Source organism: Homo sapiens, chromosome 11, assembly GCF_000001405.40.
Source record: "Homo sapiens chromosome 11, GRCh38.p14 Primary Assembly".
Lineage (NCBI taxonomy): Eukaryota > Metazoa > Chordata > Mammalia > Primates > Hominidae > Homo > Homo sapiens.
In genome coordinates this window covers 123,379,869-123,402,900 of record NC_000011.10, presented here as the reverse complement: position 1 = coordinate 123,402,900, position 23,032 = coordinate 123,379,869, and the positions used below count along the sequence as shown (strand labels likewise).

General features: G+C 42.7%; 1 protein-coding gene and 1 non-coding gene across 9 annotated transcripts in view, besides 3 other annotated features; one reads left to right on the top strand and one right to left on the bottom strand.

Annotated features, from left to right (window-relative positions):
* Positions 1 to 23,032, bottom strand: part of GRAMD1B (GRAM domain containing 1B) — a 269,346-nt gene that overhangs the window by 224,867 nt on the left and 21,447 nt on the right. The window lies entirely within an intron of this gene.
* Positions 10,645 to 10,704: an enhancer, noted in NCBI's record as "active region_5681". NCBI's record gives its function as "activates an Ori minimal core promoter by ATAC-STARR-seq in GM12878 lymphoblastoid cells {active_cell/tissue: GM12878}" and the evidence as "EXISTENCE:reporter gene assay evidence [ECO:0000049][PMID:35858748]".
* Positions 20,484 to 20,563: an enhancer, noted in NCBI's record as "active region_5680". NCBI's record gives its function as "activates an Ori minimal core promoter by ATAC-STARR-seq in GM12878 lymphoblastoid cells {active_cell/tissue: GM12878}" and the evidence as "EXISTENCE:reporter gene assay evidence [ECO:0000049][PMID:35858748]".
* Positions 20,724 to 20,803: an enhancer, noted in NCBI's record as "active region_5679". NCBI's record gives its function as "activates an Ori minimal core promoter by ATAC-STARR-seq in GM12878 lymphoblastoid cells {active_cell/tissue: GM12878}" and the evidence as "EXISTENCE:reporter gene assay evidence [ECO:0000049][PMID:35858748]".
* On the top strand, positions 21,389 to 21,461 carry MIR4493 (microRNA 4493). The gene has a single exon (NR_039714.1). It is a non-coding gene; the product is annotated as a microRNA 4493 (primary transcript).

The window sequence follows — 23,032 nt, the reverse complement described above, 5'->3', positions numbered from 1 at the left end:
TAGATCCTTGAGGAATCGCCACACTGTCTTCCACAATGGTGGAAATAATTTACACACCCACCAACAGTGTAAACTATAATAAATAATAATAATAATAAAAGAGAGAGAGCGAGAGTATTAAAACCACCTTTACTTCCTCACGGAGCTAGAACATTGGGATTCCGGGATTCCAAATCTGGAAAGCTACAAGGGTTACAATTGTGAGGTCACTTGGGAGGCAATGAGGAGGAAAGAGAGCAGAAAGTCTGAAGTGGTTCCAGGTGCAGAACCAGGTAGACCTGGCCTTGAATCCTCACTCTGTCACTTACTGTGATGCTGGGAAATTCAGCTAACCAGTCGAATCCCATTTTCCCTGTTTACTAAGTGGAGATAATAAGAATGCCTGCCTTGCTGTTGTAACAATTAAATGAAACAGCCCCTCGGAGTTTTTAGCATAGACTCTGACACACACCTCGTACTCAATACAGGCTGGCTAATAAAAATAACAATGATGATGACGACCTTTGTTATTATTATCTATCTGGCTATTTGGACACCCCTAATCAGACATAAACCAGAAAGCAGAATGCAAGAACATGGTCCTTGGCCGGGCGTGGTGGCTCGTACCTGTAATCCCAGCACTTTGGGGAGGCCGAGGCGGGCAGGTCACCTGAGGTCAGGAGATTGAGACCAGCCTGGCCAACATGGTGAAACCCTGTCTCTACTAAAAATACAAAAATTAGCTGGGTGTGGTGGCACACACCTGTAAGCCCAGCTACTTGGGAGGCTGAGGCAGGAGAATCGCTTGAACCAGGGAAGCGGAGGTTGCAGTGAGCCAAGATTGCACCCTTGTACTCCAACCTGAAAAGAACGTGGCCTTTTGGGGACATTAGTGATGAAGGTGGATGCAGAGCGGGTAGCTTCACAAGCCTTCTGGCTGTCTCATGCTCACCCCAGTGTAACAACCAATGGACACACTGACTCCTCCATTCATTCTTTTCTTTTCTTTTTTTTAAGACAGGGTCTTGCTCTGTCACCCAGGCTGGAGTGAGTGATGAGACCACGGCTCACTGCAGCCTCAACCTCCCAGGCTCAAGCTATCCTTTCACCTCAGCTTTCTGAGTAGCTGGGACTGCCGGCACATGCCACCACCCCTGGCTAATTTCTTTGTTTTTGTTTTTATTTATTTACTTATTTTTTGGTAGAGACAGGGTCTCACTATGCTGTCCAGGCTCTCAATTCCGTCTTCCTTCCCCCACCCCTGCCACCACACTAAATATTAAACCTGGCTTTCCCCAAAGCCATCTTCATCAGATTAGTCTGGCGGCTTGCCTGTCCTTGGTTCTTCCAGTCTCCAGATGGAGGAGCCTCTTACAGCAACACTTGCTGTTTCCATCAGTCACTGGGGCCATTTTGTGTGAGGGAGGCCATCAGGATGAGCAAACTCCCGTGGGAGGCAGTAGGGTCCAGAGGTTAAGAGCATGTGCTCTGCACGGGGCCAACAGCCCATGCCTGCCTACTGAGTGACTGTGGGGATGAGGTCCAGAGCGGACGCAACAGGCTGTGACACCTGGGAGCACAACACATGCCAGGAGTCACCGGGATGCTTCTAGCAGAATAGCCAAATACCCTCCGCTCTTCTTACTTTAACTTCTTGGGACAGAGGGAGGGGCAAAGTAGGAGAATCCTGTGCCATTTGGGGTTACAGCTGAATCCATCCTTCACGTTACTGTTGAAACAATTTCATCATATCTGCATGACAGTGGGCAAGTTACCAAACCTCATTCTGCCTTCATCTCTTCATCTAGAAAGTGGAAATAAGAGAACCTACTTCATATGGTTGTTTAGGGGCTTAATGAGTTAAAATATATAAATTGCTTTCAATAATGACTGGCATATTGTTAGAGAGAGAGAGCATGCTCTGTTTTCAGACCTTCTGAGTTCAGGTACTAGCTTCTTCCCTTATTAGTTCAATAAACTTGGAGAAGTTGTTGCATCCCTCTACATTTTTGCTTTTTCATCTATAAAATGAGGGTAGTAATAGCACCCAGCTCCCTGCTCAGCAAAGAAATCAATCAATAAAATACTGGAGTAATATAAGGAATGACAGAACATATATGCAAACCATATACTGTAGACTGAATATTATGTTTCCCTGTAATTCATATGTTGAAATCCTAACCCCCAGTACGATGGAATTAGGAGGTGAGTCCTTTGGGAGGAGGTTAGGTCATGAGGGTGGAGCCCTCATGAATGGATTAGTGTCCTTATGAAAGAGACCCCAGAGAGCTCCCTCACCACTTCTGCACATGAGGACACAGCAAGAAGATGGTGAGGAAACAGTCCCTCACCAGACATCAAATCTGCCCACATCTTAATGTTGGACTTCCAGCCTTCAGGACTATGAGAAATACATTTCTATATATTTATTTTCTTTCTTTTTTGAGACAGAGTTTCGCTCTTGTTGCCCAAGGGGAATTGCAATGGCACGATCTCGGCTCACTGCAACCCCTGCCTCCCGGATTCAAGCGTTTTTCCTGTCTCAGCCTCCCGAGTAGCTGGGATTATAGGTACATGCCACCATGCCTGACTAATTTTTGTATCTCTAGTAGAGGCGAGGTTCCATCATATTGGTCAGGCTGGTCTTGAACTCCTGACCTCAGGTGATCTGCCTGCCTCGGCCTCCCAAAATGCTGGGATTACAGGCGTGAGCTACCATGCCTGGCCTGATTTCTATTTTTTATAAGGTATCCGGTCTATGGTGTTCTGTTACAGTACCCCAAATGGACTCAGATACCATATATCCAATAATAGGTTAATATAGAAAATATGCAAGGAACTCCTACAACTCAATAGCAAAACACCAAATAACCCAATTACAAAATGAACCAAAGACATTAGTAGACATTTCTCTAAAGAAGACATATAAATGGTTACCAGGTTCAAATCAAAACAACAATGAGATATTACCTCACACAAGTTAGGATGCTATTGTAAAACAAAAACAAATACAAGGGCCAGGTGCAGTAATCCCAGCACTTTGGGAGTTAGGGGCAGGTAGATCACTTGAGGTCAGAAGTTTGAGACCAGCCTGGCCAACATGGCAAAACCCTGTCTCTACTAAAAATACAAAAATTAGCCAGACGTGGTGGCGTGGTGGGTGGTGCACATTTAATTCCAGCTACTCAAGAGGCTGAGGCAGGAGAATTGCTTGAACTCGGGAGACGGAGGTTGCAGTGAGCCGAGATCATGCCACTGCACTCCAGCCTGGGCAACAGAGCAAGACTACATCAAATAAATAAATAAATAAATACAAAAGGTAAGTGTTGGTATGGTAAGGATGTGGAGAAAAGGGAACTCTTGCACACTGTTGGCGAGAATGTAAATTTGTACAGCCACTATAGAAAACATTATGGAGGTTCCAAAAAAAATAAATAAATAAAATACTGTATGATCCAGCAATCCCACTTCCGGGTATTTATCCAAAGAAACTGAAATCAGGATCTCAAAGAGATGCCTGCACTTCCATGTTCATTGCAGCACTATTCACAATAGCATGAATAACATGAATAACACTATTCACAATAGGATGAATGGATAAAGAAAATGTGGCATACTTAAATACAATGGCATATTCTTCAGCCTTTAAAAAGAAGTCAGTACTATCACTTGGGACAACATGGATGAACCTGCAGGACATTATGTTAAGTGAAATAAGCCAGGCACAGAAAGACAAATAATGCGTGATCTCACTTATATATGGAATCTAAAAAAGTCAAAGTCGTAGTAACAGAGAATAGAATGTTGTTTGCCAGAGACTGGGAGAGAGGGAAATGAGGAGTATAAGTCAAGGTGTACAAAGTGTCAGTTATAAAAGATAAGTAAGTCCTAGACATCTCCTGGGCAGCATAGTGCCTGCAGTTAACAATATTGTTTTGTATACTCAAAAATTTGCTAAGAAGGTAGATATTATGTTGTTTCCTTATCACATACATATAATAATAATAATAAAAGTGGGTGGGAGGAAATTTTTGGAGACAATGGACAGATTTATGGCACAGGTTGTGATGATGATTTCACAGATGTATACTTATTCCTAAACTCATTGAGTTGTATACATTAAATATGTACAGCTTTTTGTATGTCAAGCATACCGCACTAAAGTTGTTTTTTAATAAGATATTCAAATAAAAAAAGAAAATATATAAATGACCGATAAATACATGAAAAGAAACTTAGTGACATTAGTCAACAGGGAAATGTAAATAAAACCACAATAGGATACCACTACACACCTATTAAAATGGCTAAAATAAAAAAATTGACAATACCAAGTGGTGCCAAGGATGTGGAACAACTGGATTTCTCATACACTGCCAATGGGAGTATAAATTGATACAAGTATGCTATGGTTTGAATGTGTCCCCTAGATTTCATGTGTTCAAAAATTAATCCCAAAATTAATATGTCGATCTATTTGAAGGTGGGCTCTTTGGGAGGTATTTAGGATTAGATAAGGTTATTAGGGTGAGCTCTTATGATGCAATTGGCAGCTTTATAAGAAGAAGAGAGACCTTAGCTGGCATGCTCTTGCTCTCTTGCCATGCAATGACACAGCAAGAAGGCCCTCACCAGTGCCTTCTTGAAGTTAACTTTCCAGCCTCCAGAACTGTAAGAAATATAGTTTTTAAACTTTTCTTTATAAATTATCCAGTCTGTGGTATTCTGTCATGGTAAGAGAAAATTAACTAAGATAAAGCACTTTGGAAAACTCATAGTTTTTCAAACATACATTTACTATACGACTGAGCAATTTCACTCCTGAGTATTTTCTCTAGAGGAACAAATTCATGTCTATGCAAAGATTTGTACCTAAATGTTCTTAGCAGTTTAATTTTTAATAGCCCAGAATTAGAAAAAATCCAAAAGTCCGTCTACAGGTGAATAGATAAATTATGGTATACCCAAACAATGGAATACTCTTCATTAATAAAAAGGAACAAGCTACTGTTATTTGCAGCTATGTAGATGAATCTCAAAACCATTATATATGCTGAGGGTAAGAGGCCAGATGGGAAAGTACATATTCTATGTACTTATACATGAAATTCTAGGTTGGGTGTGGTGGCTCACACCTGTAATCCCAGCACTTTGGGAGGCCAAGGTGGGAGGATTGCCTGAGCCCAGGAGTTCGAGACCAGCCTGGGCTACATAGCAAGACTCTGTCTCTACAAAAAACAAAAAATAAAAAAATTAGTCAGATGTGGCGGCACACTCTGGGGTCCCAGCTACTTGGGAGGCTGAGGCAGGAGGATCACTTAAGCCTGAGAGTCGAGGCTGCAGTGAGCCATGATTGTACCTCTGCACTCCAGCCTGAGTGAGAGCCTGTCTCAAACAAGATTTTTTTAATCTAGAATAAGCAAAATTAATCTAGTGACAGCAAATCAATGATTGCCTGGGTCAAATATTTTTCATTTGTTTTTGTTTTGTTTTGTTTTGTTTTGTTTTGTTTTTTGAGACAGAGTCTCGCTCTGTCACCCAGGCTGGAGTGCAATGGCATGATCTCAGCTCACTGCACTGCAAACTCCCGGGTTCAAGCAATTCTCTTGCCTCAGCCTCCCGAGTAGCTGGGATTACAGGTACCCACCACCATGCCCAGCTAACTTTTTTTTGTATTTTTAGTAGAGATGGCATTTCGCCATGTTGGCCAGGCTGGTCTCGAACTCCTGACCTCAGGTGATCCTCCCGCCTCTGCCTCCCAAAGTGCTAGGATTACAGGCGGGGGACACCACACCTGGCCTGTTTTGTTTTTTAATTGAACGAAGATAAGCACAGGAAAAAATGTTAGGGTAATGGGAAACATTCTGTATTTTGATTTTGGTGTTATAAAATGTATACATTTGTCAAAACTCATCAATCTGCATTTTATTATATGTAAATTATACCCCAGTGAAGTTGAGTTAAAAAAAATAGTACTCAGCTTGCTGGATTGGTATGAATATTAATTAAGATTCTGCAAGTAAAGATCTTGCTCACACAAAATATTCAATAAATATTAGCTATCATTATCCCCATAATGACAGATAATTAGCAAAGTTTCTGTTTTTCCCTCTCTGCCTAAATTAGAGCAAAATGCACAAAATATTTCAACAGGAAACCCCAGTCTGTAGCTAAGTCCTTGTCTCTAGGCACCAAGATATTCTTGCAAACCACAAAGTAAAATCCCTGAGGTCAAGAATAGGCAGTTCTCTCTGGATTCATCACATTTGGGGTGGGAGAGGCAGCAGAGCAGTGGGACACATGGCACAGCACTTCTAAGTCATAAGGAAATAGAAGTGCATATGGGGGCTGGGAGTGGTGGCTCATGCCTGTAATCCCAGCACTTTGGGAGGCTGAGGCGGGCGGATCCCCTGAGGTCAGGAGTTCGAGATCAGCCTGGCCAACATGGCGAAACCCCATCTCTACTAAAAATACAAAAATTAGCCAGGCGTGGTGGTACATGCCTATAATCCCAGCTATTTGGGAGGCTGAGGCAGGAGAATTGCTTAAACCTGGGAGGCGGAAGTTGTAGTGAGCCAAGATTGTGCCATTGCACTCCAGCCTGGACAACAAGAGCTAAGCTCTGTCTCAAAAAAAAAAGAAGAAGAAGAAAAGAAAAGAAAAAAGAAAAAAATGCATATGGGGAAGCAGCAAGAGGACTTTTCCATCTAAAAAAAAAAAAGGAAAGAAAAGAAAAGAAAAAAGAAAAAAATGCATATGGGGAAGCAGCAAGAGGACTTTTCCATGGAGGAGTCTGGTGGGTCAGGGAAGCCAAGGAGTAGCAAGGAGGGGGAAAGGAACTTTCCTCTGTACCACAGCTGGGTCCATTCATCGACCCCAGCCTCAGTTTTTCAAAGAATGACCAAGTTATTACTACTACTAAATATAAGCTACTAATAAATAGATTACAGTCTTCTAGTCTTTATCCTAGTTGCCTTTTATCTCTGATACCTCCTTTGAGTTTCCCAACAGTTCTGCAAGACAGAAAATATTTTTAAAAGGAGATCCTATTTCACAGAAGAGAAAAAGAAACTTCTCTAAGGTCACTGAGTAACTTAGGTCTCTTTATTACCTAACCAGGGCTCTTTGGTTGAGCACAGGGGTTTTCATCCTTGGCTATTCATTGGAATCACTTGAAGAGCTTTAAAAAATACTGATGCCTGGGTCTCACCCACAAAGATTCTCATCTCTTTGGTCTGAGGTGCAGCCTGGATGTTGGAATTTCTAAACACGATTTAACTGGTTGTAATGGAAAGCTAAGATTGAAAACCACTACTCAAGCATACGTGACTGCTTGGATAAGTAAAACCTACACCTCACCTGGGGGAACTCTGATATTTTCTTTGTCCTTTTTGGTGAGGAAGGTAAACAGGCAAAGGAAACCATGCAAACGTTCACTTTTTGTTGTTGTTGTTGTTGTTGTTAATGAGGGCAGGCATCATTTGGCTGTATATGAAGGGGATGTATTGGAAACTTGGGGAATGTATAAAGGGAAACATGAGCCTTAAAGAAAGGAGAATTCATGTTTCCCTTTATACCTTCCCCCAATTTTACTATGTAATCTTATTTAATTTTATTTATGTTTAGCTGAGAAAGAAAGCCACTTTTAATAAAGAAGCCTTTCCTTAGTATGAAAATCTACACAATAATACCTTTGCAGAAATTTTCTTTCCCAGAATCTGTTTTATTTCATTAAACTAGAATTTATTAAGAACCCAAAACATTCATGCAACATTCATTGAGATCCTGGCTAAATGAGTATGATACAGTCCTATACTTAGGGGATTATAAACTTGTAGGGGGGATGCTATGTTTCAAATGTTTGGCCCCTCCAAAATTCATTTTGAAATTTAATCATAACAGTATTAGAAAGTGGGAACCTTAAGAGGTGATTAGGCCATGAGGGCTCCCCACCATGGGTGGGATTGGTATAAAATGGTGAGTTTGGCCCTCTCTTGTTCTCTTTTTTGTCTCTTCCACTCTTCTGTCAAGTGAGGAACAGGGTTCCTCGCCTCCAGAGAAGGCAATGTTCAAGTTGCCATCTTGGAAGCAGAGACCAAGCCCTTACCAAACACTAAACCTGCTGGCACCTTGATCTTGAACTCCCCAGCCTCTAGAACTGTGAGAAATAAACTTCTCTTATTTGTAAATTACCTAGTCTGTGGTATTCGGTTATAGCAGCACAAAATGATTTAAGGCAGGGAACAAGACAGGTACATAAATAACTACCAGAAAAAGTTTATGCTAAGTTCATGAACATACTTAGAATGGAGCTTAGCACATAGAAGATGCTCAAGAATTATCTAAGAAAAATGAAAAGAAGAGAAGAGAGATGGGAGAAAGAAGGGAAGGACAGAAAAGGTAAAAAGTACTATGGAGGTTTCAAGATGAAGCATCACAATGTGTTGGGAGGAGGCTGCAATTGCAGCCTTGAAGAGAAGATTGGAGTCCACAAATACGGAAGTGGAGAGGCCGTTCCATTTGGAAGGAATAGTATATGCAAAAGCAAGAATATGTTAAAGCCTGGCCATGTTTGAGAGACACAAAATGGTATCATTGGATAGAGCAGAAGGAATCTCAATGCTGATAGTAAGAGAGAAAATTATAAACTAGAAAGCTGTTGCCAATATAAAAAAATGGACAGAATAATGTTCTTATTTTTAATAGCAGGCAAAAGAATGACCATATGTCCTGGATTTCTCAAGGCAGTACTAATTTACATGTCTGGTTCATGCGTAATTGCTAATAGCATCTCATTTCATTCTCAAAATTGCTCTGGTTTGGATAATAAATTATATGATCATCTTAGTAACAAGAAACCTTTAAACCATTTTTTAAAAATCAGAGTGCAAAAGAGTAGAATAAGGATGACCTTTTCAGAGTTGCATTTTACCAAGATTCATCAGGCAGTTGTAAGGGATTTGCAGTGGAAAGAGAATGAAATTGAAGAGAGATGGGAAGATCATTCAGAGGTTATAGGTTTACTCTATTCAAAGATAAAAAGAGCCCCAGTCGAGGTGCTGGCCAAATGTGGTAGACAGACCATGAGACAGCCCCAGCAAACCCCACCTTCTGGTGTTCAAGCCTGTGTAGTCAGTCCCCTTCCACATTGAAGAGGGTGGACCTGGGTAACCAACAGGGGATTACAAAGACAACAGGATGTGACTTCTGTGGGGAGCTTGTAAAAACAATAAACAAAACAAACAAAAACCACCGTGGCTTTCTCAATCTCTCAGATCATTCATTCTGGGAGAAGGCAGCTAACATGTTCTTAGGGTTCTCAAACAGCCCAAGGAAAGATGCACGCGGTGAGAAACTGAGACCTATCATTGCCAGCATGCATTAGCCATCTCTGTGAGTGTGCCATCTTGGAACTGGATCCTCCAGCCCCAGTCAATGCTTCAAATGACTGCAGCCACGGTTGCCATCTAAGCACAACCTCCTGAGAGAGCCTAGGCTAAAACCACCCTGTCAGGCTTCTCCCAAACCAGATTCTGTGGCAATAAACCGTGGTTATTAATGTTTTAACTTGCTATGTTCTGGGTAATTTGTTATGTGGAAACATATAATAGACATTAGAAATAAAAAGGAAAGGATAAAGATAAATTGCACAGGGAAAGCTAAAGTAACTGGCATTTGGTTCTCCCTCCCAGCACTTTCCCTAATAACTGCGTGTTATTGGGGAAATTACTTAATGTATAGGAGTCTTGATTTCCTCATCTGTAAAATACCCAGGCCTGACTAATGATCTTCAATGTCCCTTCTAGCATCCAAATTAAATGATTTCATTATTCTAAAAGCTCATTTATTAGTCACAGAGCAGGGTTTAGAAATTATCATATTATCTGGAGAGCTCTCTGAGTGTCTGGCCTCATCCTGTTCAACAATCTTATCAATGACTGAACTGAAGATACAAAAGGCATTCTTGTCAAAACCAAAGGCGAAGTGAAACTCAGAAGAAAAGTGGTTGAAGTAAAACGTCTAAAAATCTTGAAATTCATGAACAATGAGCCAAATATAACAAGATGAAATGTAACAGACTCACAGGCAGCCTGTGAAGTTCTGAAAATTTATCTCTAGGAGTATAAAAGTAGATAGGAGTAATATTAACTATTAGTCAGTAGTATGAACTAGTTGCCAAGGAATAAATCCTGCCTTTCTTTTATTGGATTCATAAATTCATTCAACAGTCACCCAAGCACTGCACCAGGCATTAGGGCTGTAGTGATGACTAAGACACAGACTTTATAGAATGATAAAACTTAAAATTAAGGGAGGAGAGAATCCCATTTTCCTCTTTGCTTGGTCATGCATACTGTATAATATGAGTATCAGGCCATAATTCCATAGCTTTATAGGTAGACTGAAGTTTGGTCTGAGGAGAGTTGCCAGAATTGATATGAAACTGACAGTAATCTGAGTCAACCAACCTTTATTGAGTGGTTTCTCTGTGCTCTGCCCAGGGATAAGATATCCAAAGAAAAGAGAGGATGGCTTAGGATAGAATCTTGCCAAACACCAATACTTAAAGGACAAGCAGAAGAGCAGAGTCTGAAAAAAGGCTGAGTAGGAGTGGCAGGAGAAATAGGAGAAAAACCTGGAGGCTAAAACTAGAATGCATTCAGAGGGCAAAGACATACGATCTGGAGACTTGTCCCTGCTTTCATTCTCCTCTTCTACCCTTTCTAACTTACTCATTCTGACCCAGTCACATGGGCTTCTGGTTGTTCTTCAAGTGTACCACACTCCTTCCTAACTCCGGGTCATTGTCTTCGCTGTTCCCACTGATTGCATGCTCTTCCCCCAGGATCCATGAATGGTCCAGTCCCTCACTCTATTCAGATCTCAGCTCAGATGCCACCTCCTCAGAGAGGACTTCACTGTTCAGCTGAGCTAAAGTAATAACCTCTCTACCCTCTGCCCTCAGAATTTGTCACTAATCTCCTGACATTTTGTAAATGTACTTGCTCCTCTGTTTGTTATCCCTGGCCCCATGCACACGCAGTGGCTTGGAAAGAGCAGTGATTCCACCTGCCTCTTTCATAGATGTATCCACATGGCATAGTGCCATGTCTGGTACATTGTAAGTGCTTAGTCACATATTTGGTGAAAGAATTAAGTAAAATTGGCCGGGTGTGGTGGCTCACACCTGTAATCCCAGCACTTTGGGGGGCCAAGGTGGGCGGATCAATTGAGGTCAAGAGTTCAAGACCAGCCTGACCAACATGGTGAAACTCCATCTCTACTAAAATACAAAAATTAGCCAGGCGTGCTGGCAGTCACCTGTAATCCCAGCTACTTGGGAGGCTGAGGCAGGAGAATTGCTTGAACCCAGGAGGCGGAGGTTGCAGTGAGCCGAGATCATGCCACTGCACTCCAGCCTGGGTGACAGAACGAGACTCTCTCTCTCAAACAAACAAACAAACAAAAAACAAACTAAAATCAAGATGCCAAGAAGGACTTTAGTGATCTCGGCAGAGAGATTTCAATGAGGTGACAGAAAGTTAGATATATAAGGAACAATAGATTATACAAGGTCTGAGAAAGCAAGAGAAGATTAGACTCACAACACTAATGGTGAGAGAAAGAGTAAGGCTGCAGGTAAGCTCCTGGGTATGGGGTAAAGAAGTTGCAAGAGCTCTCATCTCATGATTTCAATTTTATTTTTAAAATAGTACTAAGAATCTGTCAGCTGAGATGAAGTAGGGCAAGTGGCGGGATTATGGGCTTGAGGAAAGTGGAGATCTGAAATAGCTAATGTGAAAAAAGAGCAGAGCTGGGTAGAGAGAAATGTGATGTCCAGCAAGAAGGGCCAAGTTTAGAAACTGCAAATTTAGAGTGGCACAGGCCATGTGCTTGTGTGCGTCCCTCCGGTAACACTCAGTGGCCTAGAAGAAGGAAAGGCGGGCAGCTGAGTGGATCTAAGCCTGGGTTGCAAGCTGCATTCAGTCAAAGGGCAGTGAGCATGAGAGTTAAGGATACTGGGAAGAGAGTGGTGGAGTAAAGTGCCATGGAATCAAGTGAGATGGGAAGAAAGGGAAGCTAAGGGAGCTCCTAGATGAGGTCATGGAAAGCAAACATGAGTTTGGCCTAGATGGGGTCAAAGAAAAGTGGCATACCAGTCTGCCACTATCAACCAGTTGAAAGGACAGAAATTATCAATCCTGCAAAGGAAATAAGCAATGGGAGTGAGGGAGAGCAAAAGAATGTCTTCAAAAACTAGAAAAATTACCTGGAAAGGTTGTATTTGACATATATTCTATATGGACTCAAAGCCATTATAAAATTCTATAAATAGAAATTACACACGGATTTGACCCATGTAAAAAAATGCTGAGAATCATAACAGTAGTGAAAATTCATTACAAAGATAAAAACTCTTTTATTTTGTTTTGTTTTTGGACGGATATCCATTTCTAGAGATAGATGCTCAAGGAAGATTGGGAGGTTATGAGGAGAAGAGGGATTCAAGGAGCAGGGTGATGCGTACAGAGTGCCAGACGTTGCTCAGCAATGCCCAGAGACAGGCAGGAGGTGAGGAAGGAAGCAGATGGGTGGACACAGGGGCTCCTTCCCCACTGCCGCCAGAGCAAGTCTGCATTTATTTCATGTCATTGGACTTCCACTTAATATCATGTTTGGGTAGTGTTTTTGTATAAAGAAATCAATATCAAACACCATTTGACCAGGTGACTTTTGAGGTTCTTTCCAAGTCAGAGAGTCTCTCTCTCTTTTTTTTTTTTTAATGAATTGATGTGAACATTAGCTATTTGTTAAATCAATTTTTTTTTATTTTAGAAGAGTTTAAAATTTACAAAAAAGCTGTGGCCAGGTGCAGTGGCTCACACCTGTAATCCCAGCACTTTGGGAGGCCGAGGCAGGCAGATCACTTGGGGCCAGGAGTTTGAGACCAGCCTGGCCAACATGGTGAAACCCTGTCTCTACTAAAAATGGGAAAACATTAGCCAGGCACTGTGGCATACGCTTGTAATCCCAGTAATCACAGCTACTCAGGAGGCAGAGGCACAAGAATCGCTTGAACCCAGGAGGCAGAGGTTGCAGTGAGCCCAGATTGTACCACTGCACTCCAGCCTGGATAACAGAGTAAGATTCTGTCTTCCCACCCCACCTAGAAAAAAGTTGTGAAGATAATACACAGAGCTCTTATAGACTCCACACCCGGTTTCTTCTATTATTAACATCTCACGTTAGTATGGTGCATTTGTTGAAATCATTATACCAACAATCAATATTAATACATAATTATTAATTAAACTCCATTCTTCATCCAGTTTTCCTTAACTTTTACCTAATTTCCTATTTCCATTCCAGGATTCCATCCAGGACGCTGCATTACATTTTCTCATCTTATCTCCTTAGGCTCCTCTTGGCTGACAGTTTCTTAGACTTTCCTTATTTTTGATGACTTGGACAGTTTTGAAGAGTACTGGTCAGGTATCTTACAGAAGCTGCCTCAGTTGGGATTTTTTTTTTTTTTTGACATGGACTCTGGCTCTGTCACCTAGGCTGGAGTGCAGTGGCTCGATCACGGCTCACTGCAAGCTCTGCCTACCAGGATCTCGCCATTCTCCTACTTCAGCCTCCCAAGTAGCTGGGACTACAGGTGCCCACCACCAGGCCTGGCTAATTTTTTGTATTTTTAGTAAAGACGGGGTTTCACCATGTTAGCCAGGATGGTCTCAATCCCCTGACCTCGTGATCTGCCTGTCTCGGCCTCCCAAAGTGCTGGGATTACAGGTGTGAGCCACCGTGCCCGGTCGGGATTTTTTTACTGTTGTTTTTCTCATGATTAGACTGTGGCAGTGGGTTTTGGGGAGGAAGATCACAGAGGTAATGTGCCATTGTCAGCACATCGTCTCAGGAGTATGTACTATTATAATATCAATGTGACTCATCATTGATGTTGACCTTGATCCCCGGACTGAATGTCTTGGTCTGTTCGAGATGCTGTAACAAAACACATGAACCTGGATAGCTTTTAAACATTAGAAATCTATTTCTCACAGTTCCGGAGGCCAGGAAGTCCAAGATCAGGGTGCCAGCATGGCTGGGTTCTAGCAGGGCCCTCTTGCAGGTTGCAGGCTGATGACTTCTCACTGTCCTCACACAGCAGAAGGGGCAAAAAAGCTCCCTCTGACCTCTTCTTTGTTTGTTTGTTTGTTTGTTTGTTTGTTTGTTTGAAACAGGGTCTCACTGTCATTCTGTTGCCCAGGCTGGAGTAGGGCAATGGTGCAATCTTAGCTCACTGCAGCTTCAACCTCCCTGGCTCAAGTGATCCTCCCACCTCAGCCTCTCGAGTAGCTGGGACTACAGGTATGTGCCACCATGCCAGGCTAATTTTCATGCTTTTTTGTAGAGACGGGGTCTTGCCATGTTGCCCAGGCTGGTCTCAAACTCCTGGACTCAAGTGATCTGCCTGCCTCAGCCTCCCAAAGTTCTGGGATTACAGGTGTGAGCCACCGCACCCAGCTCCTCTGACCTCTTCTTATAAGGGAATTAATCCCATTCATGTGGGCTCCTTCTTATGACCTAATCACCTTTGAAAGGCCCCACCTCTTAATACTACCACATAAGGGATTAGGTTTCAATATGAATTTTGGGGTTCATATTGGGGGATACCAACATTTAAATCATAGCACTAAGGTAGTGTTTGCCAGTTTTCTCCACTATAAAGTTACTATTTTTCCCCCTTTCCATACTAACCATAGCTATTTTTTTTTTTTTTTTTTTTTGAGGAGGAGGAGTCTCGCTTTTGTCGCCTAGGCTGGAATGCAATGGTACAATCTCGGCTCACTGCAACCTCTGCCTCCTGGGTTCAAGCGATTCTCCTGCCTCAGCCTCCCAAGTAGCTGGGATTACAGGCACCTGCCACCACACCTGGCTAATTTTTTTGTATTTTTAGTAGAGATGGGGTTTTGCCATGTTGGCCAGGCTGGTCTTGAACTCCTGACCTCAGATGATCCACCTGCCTCGGCCTCCCAAAGTGCTGGGATTACAGGCGTGAGCCACCACACCCGGCCAACCATAGCTATTTTTAAATAATCACATATAATCTGTATTTGTGGGCCTTGTTATTTGAAAGAAAAAAGGGTTGCACATTCCTAGGCCAAACAGGCTACTTGTGGGGCGGGGCGGGTGGGGGCGGGAGGGCAGGGGCAGGCTGATGCTTGTCTCTATGCACACTGAGGGCCAGGAAACAAAACCCTGAGATGTCTGGAAATGCTGGAGCTGGAATCCAAGTAGTAAAGGAACTTGTTGGCTTTGTGGATCCATAAGCACAGAGAAGAGCCTGGGGGTGGGTGCTTTGTCCTTTGAGAAGCCCTCCAAACCCACTCACCTGGCACAAGAGCCCACTCTCCCTGCAATGCCCATCTTTTGTTTGCCAGCCAAAGAACACTGCCTCAGTGACTTTGGGGAGTTTTGTTTCCTCCATTCCTTCTAAATACAGTCTGGCTGTGATGATAAACACTGGGCCTCATGTACATGTGTGTAGGCCTGTGTGTCAGCAAACACGCTGCCTTTCTGGAGTGCGTGGCATCCACTGCGAGCCGTGACTCCAGGAGAAGCCTGTGCCAAATTAGTCCTTGTCTGAAAAATCTTCCTGGGGATACTTCACATCCAGAGCCATTAGTCATGAAGCCAGACGATACTTCTTAAAATGCCAGCATTTTGGTATTCAATAGCTTTGCACTCCCTGACCTGGGAGGCTCAGAGACTGCTTCTAGCTGCTTCTACCTTTCACATCTCACCTCCTTTCTGAAAATAATCTAAACTACAAAACGTCTCTGCCAAAAGACCCTCTAAGCACTTAAACAGCTGCAGTCATGGTCTAACAGGCACCCAGCAAACACATGATGAAGTGGTTCCATGCTCATGAAATGGACTAGGCATTCCTTCCTGTTTCCCTCACACAAACTGAAGACAGAGGCTGATGTCATCTTCCTCCACTTATGGACAAGCCCAGCAAGAGTGAAGAATTTGCTAAATATTTCACAGCCAAGGAAAGGGGTTCATCTGCCGAGCATGCTCTGCCTAGCTGCGGCTACTGCCGATGCACTGTGGCCAGTGGGGACTGGGCAGCTTTCTGTTTTTTAAGGAAGAAGTATAGTGTGAGGCTGGGCATGGTGGCTCATGCCTGTAATCCCAGCACTTTGCGAGGCTGAGGCAGGCAGATCACCTGAGGTCAGGAGTTTGAGACCAGCCTGGCCAACATGGTGAAACCCTGTCTCTACTAAAAATACAAAACAAAACAAAAAATTAGCTGGGTGTGGTGGCTGGTGCCTGTAATCCCAGCTACTTGGAAGGGTAAGGCAGGAGAATCGCTTGAATCTGGGAGACAGAGGTTGCGGTGAGCCAAGATCATGCCATTGCACTTCAGCCTCAGTGACAGAGTGAGACTCCATCTCAAAAAAAAAAAAAAAAAAAAGTATATTGTGAGTAACATTCAAAGTGAAATTCTAAGAATCCGGGGATGGAAGAGATTGAGTGCCTCAAAAGCAGAAAGAGAAGGACACCCCTTGAGGAGGTCTTCCTGGATTCTCTCAAGGGGCCTCCTGTTCAGAACGCTGGAAGCCACCCCTACAAATCAGCCCCTAAATCTTTAGAAATAGTGGAGAAAATGTGGCAGAGGAAAGGCAGATATGGAAGAGAAAAATATGTATGTAAAACCTAATTTAATCTTCATAACAGCCCTATAAAGTTGATATTAGAATCTCACTTGACAGATGGGAAAACTTAGATGTGGAGAGAGGTTTAATAACCTGCTCAAGGCCCACATCTAGGTAAAAAACTAGAATTCCAACTCAAATCTGTCAAACTTCCAAGCCTATACATATGATGTTCTCTTATTCTAGAGTATCTGCCTGACAGAAGTGGACAGAGAAGTGAGAAAGTATTTTCCCGTCCCTCCTTTGGCCACTTCACAAAGCATAATTATGAGGCCTGGGAAGGGAACAATAGAAGCATATGCAGGAAGAAGCATCATTACACACACACACAGACTCACAGTGGCACAGGGAAGGACCTCCGATCTCCAGCAACCAATGGGACTCATCCCATGACCACAATAAAGGGTTCTTGGGTTAAAGTTGTAATTCAGTTCCACAAACAACAATCTATGAGGATGGATATGCCATGGTCCCTGCCCTCAAGAAGCTTTGCAATACTAAGGGGGAGAAGAGGGGTATAAAGAACCAAACTCACCCACACTACAAGGCAGAAGGGAAGTGCAGTGGGATAGGTGACTCTCCAGGCTTGTGGGGCTGGGAAGGGCCTCCAAGTGAGTAGCAGTTGACTTGAGACCTAGAGCATAAATATGTTCATGGGCAGTGGACAGGAAAGGTATTCCAGGATGAAAGGAAAGAAAGAACAAAGGTATGAAGGAAGGGGAGTCAAGAAGGAAGTGAGGAGGCTGGAAACGATGTTAAAGAATTTACACAGTATTCGGTAAGCACCAGGAAACTAATGACGGGTTTGAGAGGAGTGAGGAGAATGGCATGGTCATATCTGCTCAAGAACAATGAGGATGATTGATTAGGAGGGGAGGCAGTGATCAAGGTAGAGTTAAGGAGAGCTTGAGCTCAGCAAGGTCTGAGTAAGGAAAACTGCAGAGACAAAATGGTCAGAATGGGGTCATTGATTGGACTGGGGGAAGGAAAATGTAAAGATGAAGCTATCTTAGGTTTCTCTCCCACAATACCAGAAGAATTGGCATAGTGTAAACTGAGCTGAGTATCACAAGCAAGTGGAGAGGCTTTTGGAGAATGAAGAAAGAGAAGATAATTCCAGGTCAGATGAATTGAATTTGAGGTATCATTAAGTTAATCATGCGACAGTTTTCACTGAACTACTGGAAACATAAGCTAGAGTAGGGTTCTGCAAATTATGACCCGTGGGATGTGTGTTTTTGTAAACAAAGTTTTATTGAAACACAGCCACACCTATTAATTGATATTTTATTTATAGTTTCTTTTGCTTTACAGTGGCAGAGCTGAGTAGTTGTGATGGAGACCATATGACCTGCAAGCTAAATATATGGACTATCAGGTCCTTTAAGAAAAAGTTTTCTGACCCATGATCTAGAGTCCAAAGAAAGAGGTCACAGATGTCTATGTGGGGAGGATATAGTTGAGAAGCAGGCTAAGAGAGTTACCTTGGAGGAATAAATTTTAAATCTATTCTTCATTCAAGTAGTATTTGCTAACACTTTATATCAAGCACTGGGACACTGGGTTCAGTAGTGAGAATAAAACAATAAACAGAACAGATAAAACCCCTGCTCTCCTGAATGTTACAGGAGGAGCAACAGGAAGAAACAGTCAAATAAATAATCAATTACTAGCAACATCTACACTTGTGTGCAAGAAAGAAAACATAAGTGACTAGAGGGTTTAGGGGAAGGGGGTTACCTGGGCAGGAACACTGAGAACCAAGAAAATACAGCAGCACAAAGACCAAGGAGGAAGTGTATTTCAAGAAGAAAGACATAATTGGGAATGTCAAATGCTGTGAAGCAGGATGAGGTCTAGAAATAGGCCACTGGATTTGGCATTTGGGAAATTAATTAGAGACTGCTGAGATCATTTTTGGCACAATGGTAGAAAACAAACAAATCTGCAGGGGGTTGAGAAGTCAAAAGGTGGTAAGACACTTAGGGCAATACATGTATGCTGATTTTTAAAGATGAATGGATGGGCCAGGCACAGTGTCTCATGCCTGTAATCTCAGCACTTTGGGAGGCCAAGGCAGGTGGATCACTTGAGGTCAGGAGTTCAAGACCACCCTGGCCAACATGGTAAACCCCATCTCTACTAAAAACACAAAAATTAGCTGGGCGTGGTGGTGCATGCCTGTAATCCCAACTATTCAGGAGGCTAAGGCAAGAGAATCACCTGAACCCAGGAGGTGGAGGTTGCAGTGAGCTGAGATCGCGTCACTGCACTCCAGCCTGGGCAACAGAGCAAGACTCCATCTCAAAAGAAATGAATAAATAAAAATAAAAATAAAGATGGATGGATAGATGCATTAATGGACAAATAGAAAGAAATATATATTCATATATATATATATATATTCATGAAGGGAACAATAGCCAAAATATAGAAGCTAGAGAAGAATTTAGGTTGGGAGAGAGGTTTCTTTGTTAACATCAGGGAGATGTGTATTTAAGAAATAAAAACGAAAGACCCACTAGAGAGCAAAAGATTAATGATGTAGGAAAGAAGAAGGAATTCGTGAAGCAAAGTATAAGAGAAAATGAGTAGGTGTGACCGACAGCCCAGGTGGTGGATATGAGAAAAATAGCCAGTATTTATTGAACACTTAACATGAATGAACCACTATACTGGGAGATGAAGATACTGACACAGATAAAGATACATAGTCTTTAATTCTTATATCAACCTTGCAAGGAGTTTAACATTACCAACATTTTACAGATGAGGAAACTGGAACTTGCAAGGTTAGTAACTAGCCCAAGGCTCACATTCAGTAAGTGGCTGAGCTAAAATTTCAAGCTAATATGATTTAGCTCCATAGCCCATGTACTTTCCATTTAATCAAGATGCCACACATTGGAAACTAGGTTCTTCCCTACCACAGGGAGAAAGAAGCAGAATAGGTGAAATGAGAGAGAGAGAGAGAGAGAGAGAGAGAGAGCAAGACTCTGAAGTAGGAAGCACTCTTTAAATTCAAGTCCAGGTCAGCCCCAGTTAATGCCTGAGTGTTCTCACAGTAAGATTTTACCCGACCTACCATTACACATTCAACTCTGGATCCACTCTGCATGTGTAGAGTAGATCCCCCCATCTTGCTACACAGCCCCACAGCCCCATCTTGCTCTGTGACCCAGGAGGCTGGCCCTTCTGAGAAGTGTAACCAGTTCTCTTGCCTTCTGGCTTCTGGTTGGGTCCTGCCAAGGGAGGCACTGGCTGGATACAGGAGGGCAAGAGGAGAATTGGGACAGGGGCTTGTCCCTCAGCTTCTCCCTTGCTACTTTCCTGTGGATTGACTGCATCTCTGCACCCAAGGCCACAGCTCAGGTCAGGTGACCTCTCTTGCCTCATTTATCCTTTGCTCCATTTATCCTTTGCTGATATCCCTTAACTTTACCCACACCTTTAAAGAGAGTCCCTTTCTTAAACGCCCCCCATTACCCTATCCGAGTGTGCCATCTGCATCCTGCCAAGTCCTGACAAGCCACATGATCACCTATATTCCTGGATGCTTTTTCACAAACGCATAACATAGTCACCCACATTCATCCACTTTCCCACACACTTAAATATCACACTCCTATATGCAAATCAAGCAACTGCAAGGTCTTCAGAATGGAAACACTGAGGCAGTTTTCACAATATAAGAGAGTTCTAAACTGAACCTGAGAGTTCAATGCCAGTTTAAACCTCAGAGCCAAAATAATTTAAAAATCAATGATGCTTAATTATGGACCTTCGTGTTCTCAACTCCTCTGAAATCCCCTAAAAAAAACAAGTTCTGGATTTGACTGGCCTAGGTACAGAAGTGGGGAGAAGTGCACCAGATCTAAATCCACAGTTAGGCTCAGGTTCAAAGCTCTTCCCAGCGCTGGTCTTGAAAGGGAGGCCACCCAATCCTTCTGTTATGATTCACACTCTGTGATTAGGAACCTAATTTAAAATATTAATTTATTTTTCAAAAAGATAATGAATGAAATCAGTATCCTCAGAACTGCTGCTTCCTTGAACTCCCTTCCCCCCAATCCCCAGAAAAATCCCCTAGCTTTTCTACTGATATCATTCATTTATTCTGGGAAGATGAAACCACCTCAGTTTCACTTTTAATGTGTAGTTTCTTTCTCAGGCTCTGAGCTGCAGGAGTAGGCACTTGCTGGTCAGAGGAGGCCTCCTTTTCCCAGTATAGCACTTTCCACAGTGTGGGTAAACAGAGCAGTAGGTGCTGCCACTAACACTTACCCCACCCCAAGCCTCCGGTCCTAGCTGGCTGACTTCAGGCTAGTCGCCACCTCACTCTTGCTGTCTGAGCCCCTGTTTACTTCATTTGCAAGGTAATAGGTCTACAACAAATCAGTAGTTTGCAATTTTTTCAAGTATGGGATTAATTTTTATCATTTAAAAAAATAGCATAGTTCCAAGAGATGGTGACCACGTTGATGTATTTGTTCCCCAGGCAGCATTCAGTGCACACATGGCCTCTTAGAGCCTTTGCTGTAACTCTGCAGTCCTCCAGGAACCTTCAACCTATATATTAGAACCTCGACTCTGAATCCCTTCCAGTTCCAGCATGTTAATTTGCTTATATGCATGCCTAAGACCTGCCATTCATATAAAGACCGGGCATACAAGAATCTCAACCAGAGATGGGAAGGCCTTCCGGTGATTATCACAGCCATGCCTTTACCTCCAGAAGGCCTTTCCATCTCTGTCTAATAAGAGGAAGACAATGCTGGTAATTTGGGACCCAGCTCTCCTAACCAGGACTTGTCTCATGACGCAATAGGGAGAATTGGATTGCCATTAAGCACTTCCCTTTTCCTGGGAAACACACCAGATTTCAGGTTTTCTGCAGATGCCAAACAACCCACCCAGCAGCAGCCTCTTCCTAGAGCCCGGACTCTCAGGGCCATCGTCACCACCATCTGTTCTATCCTAAGACAAAGTTCTGGGGGCTCCTGAAGCATCTTATAGAGACAGACCCAAGAGCTGACCCAGGAAGAGTTGGAGAGGGAGTTGGCGGAGGAGTGAGGGAGACACTCCCAGAGCCCCTCAGAAATGAGCAAAGCTTGTGTATCTCACCTCTATTCAAGAATCCCCTACCTCTGATCAGGGGTTTCCATGGAAACCTTATGAGTTCTATCTATAGGAAGAGAAAAAAAACATGAAAAATAAGAAGCACCCTGAGGTATGTGTGAATTAGCTCCAAGGAAGGTACGTAGAGAAGAAGGGAGTGGGAGCTCATATGGGAAGAAAAAGAGGTGGTCATTATCCTGATACATAAAAAAACCAAACTGTCTCCAGTCCCAGAATGAGGAGGGAGATGGGGTGGACAGGCAGACATGAGGCTGTGGGGGTGCACTAGCATGTGTAAGCAACTACGTGGACAAAAGGGGACCAAAAATCACCATCTGAAAGGATCTCAGGCCAAGAGATCCAAAGGAGGAAGGACACAGGACAGGAGGCAGAGAGCAGAGCTGCTGGCCGTGTTGAAACGGCGGTGGGCAGCAGCCTCCTATTCTCTTTATCACCTAACGCCAACTACAAAGGGTCCATCCGTCTATCACCCATATTTGCAGGTTTGAACACCTCGAAACCCAAGCCTTAATGAAAGTCATAATAAAGTCCTAATAAAAGTCATAATAAAGTCTCTGGAGATGTCTAGTCTATTTTTGTCTTATAAAACTGCAACCTTTTGGGTCACTTGCAAGGAAGGACTCTGCTAAACTCTTTTTCCTCTAATCTTGATTTCAGATGAAGTTTTAATGAGGACTGAGTATCTGAGTTTTAAATGTCATACAACTTGCTTTTTAAAAATAGACCATGAGGATCAAAGACCTAAATGTAAGAGCTAAAACTATAAAACTCTCAGAAGCATTGGCATAAATCTTTGTAACCTTGGATTAGGCAGTGGTTTCTTAGCTATGACACCAAAAGGACAAGCAATAAAGGGTGAGTGAACTGGACGTCATCGAAATTAGAAGGTTTCGTGTTTCAAAGGATACCATCAATAAATGAAAAGACAACCTGATGAATTGGAGAAAAGTTTTGCAAATCATATATTTGACAAGAGACTTGTGTCTAGAATATATAAAGAACTATAACTCAATAACAAAATAATTTTTTTAAAGCTGGAGAAAGGACCTAAATAAACATTTCTCAAAAGAATAGATACAAATGGTCGATAAGTACATTTAAAAATACTGAACGTCATGAGCCATCAGGGAAATACAAATCAAAACCACAATAGATAGCACTTCATGGCCACTAGGATGGTTATAACA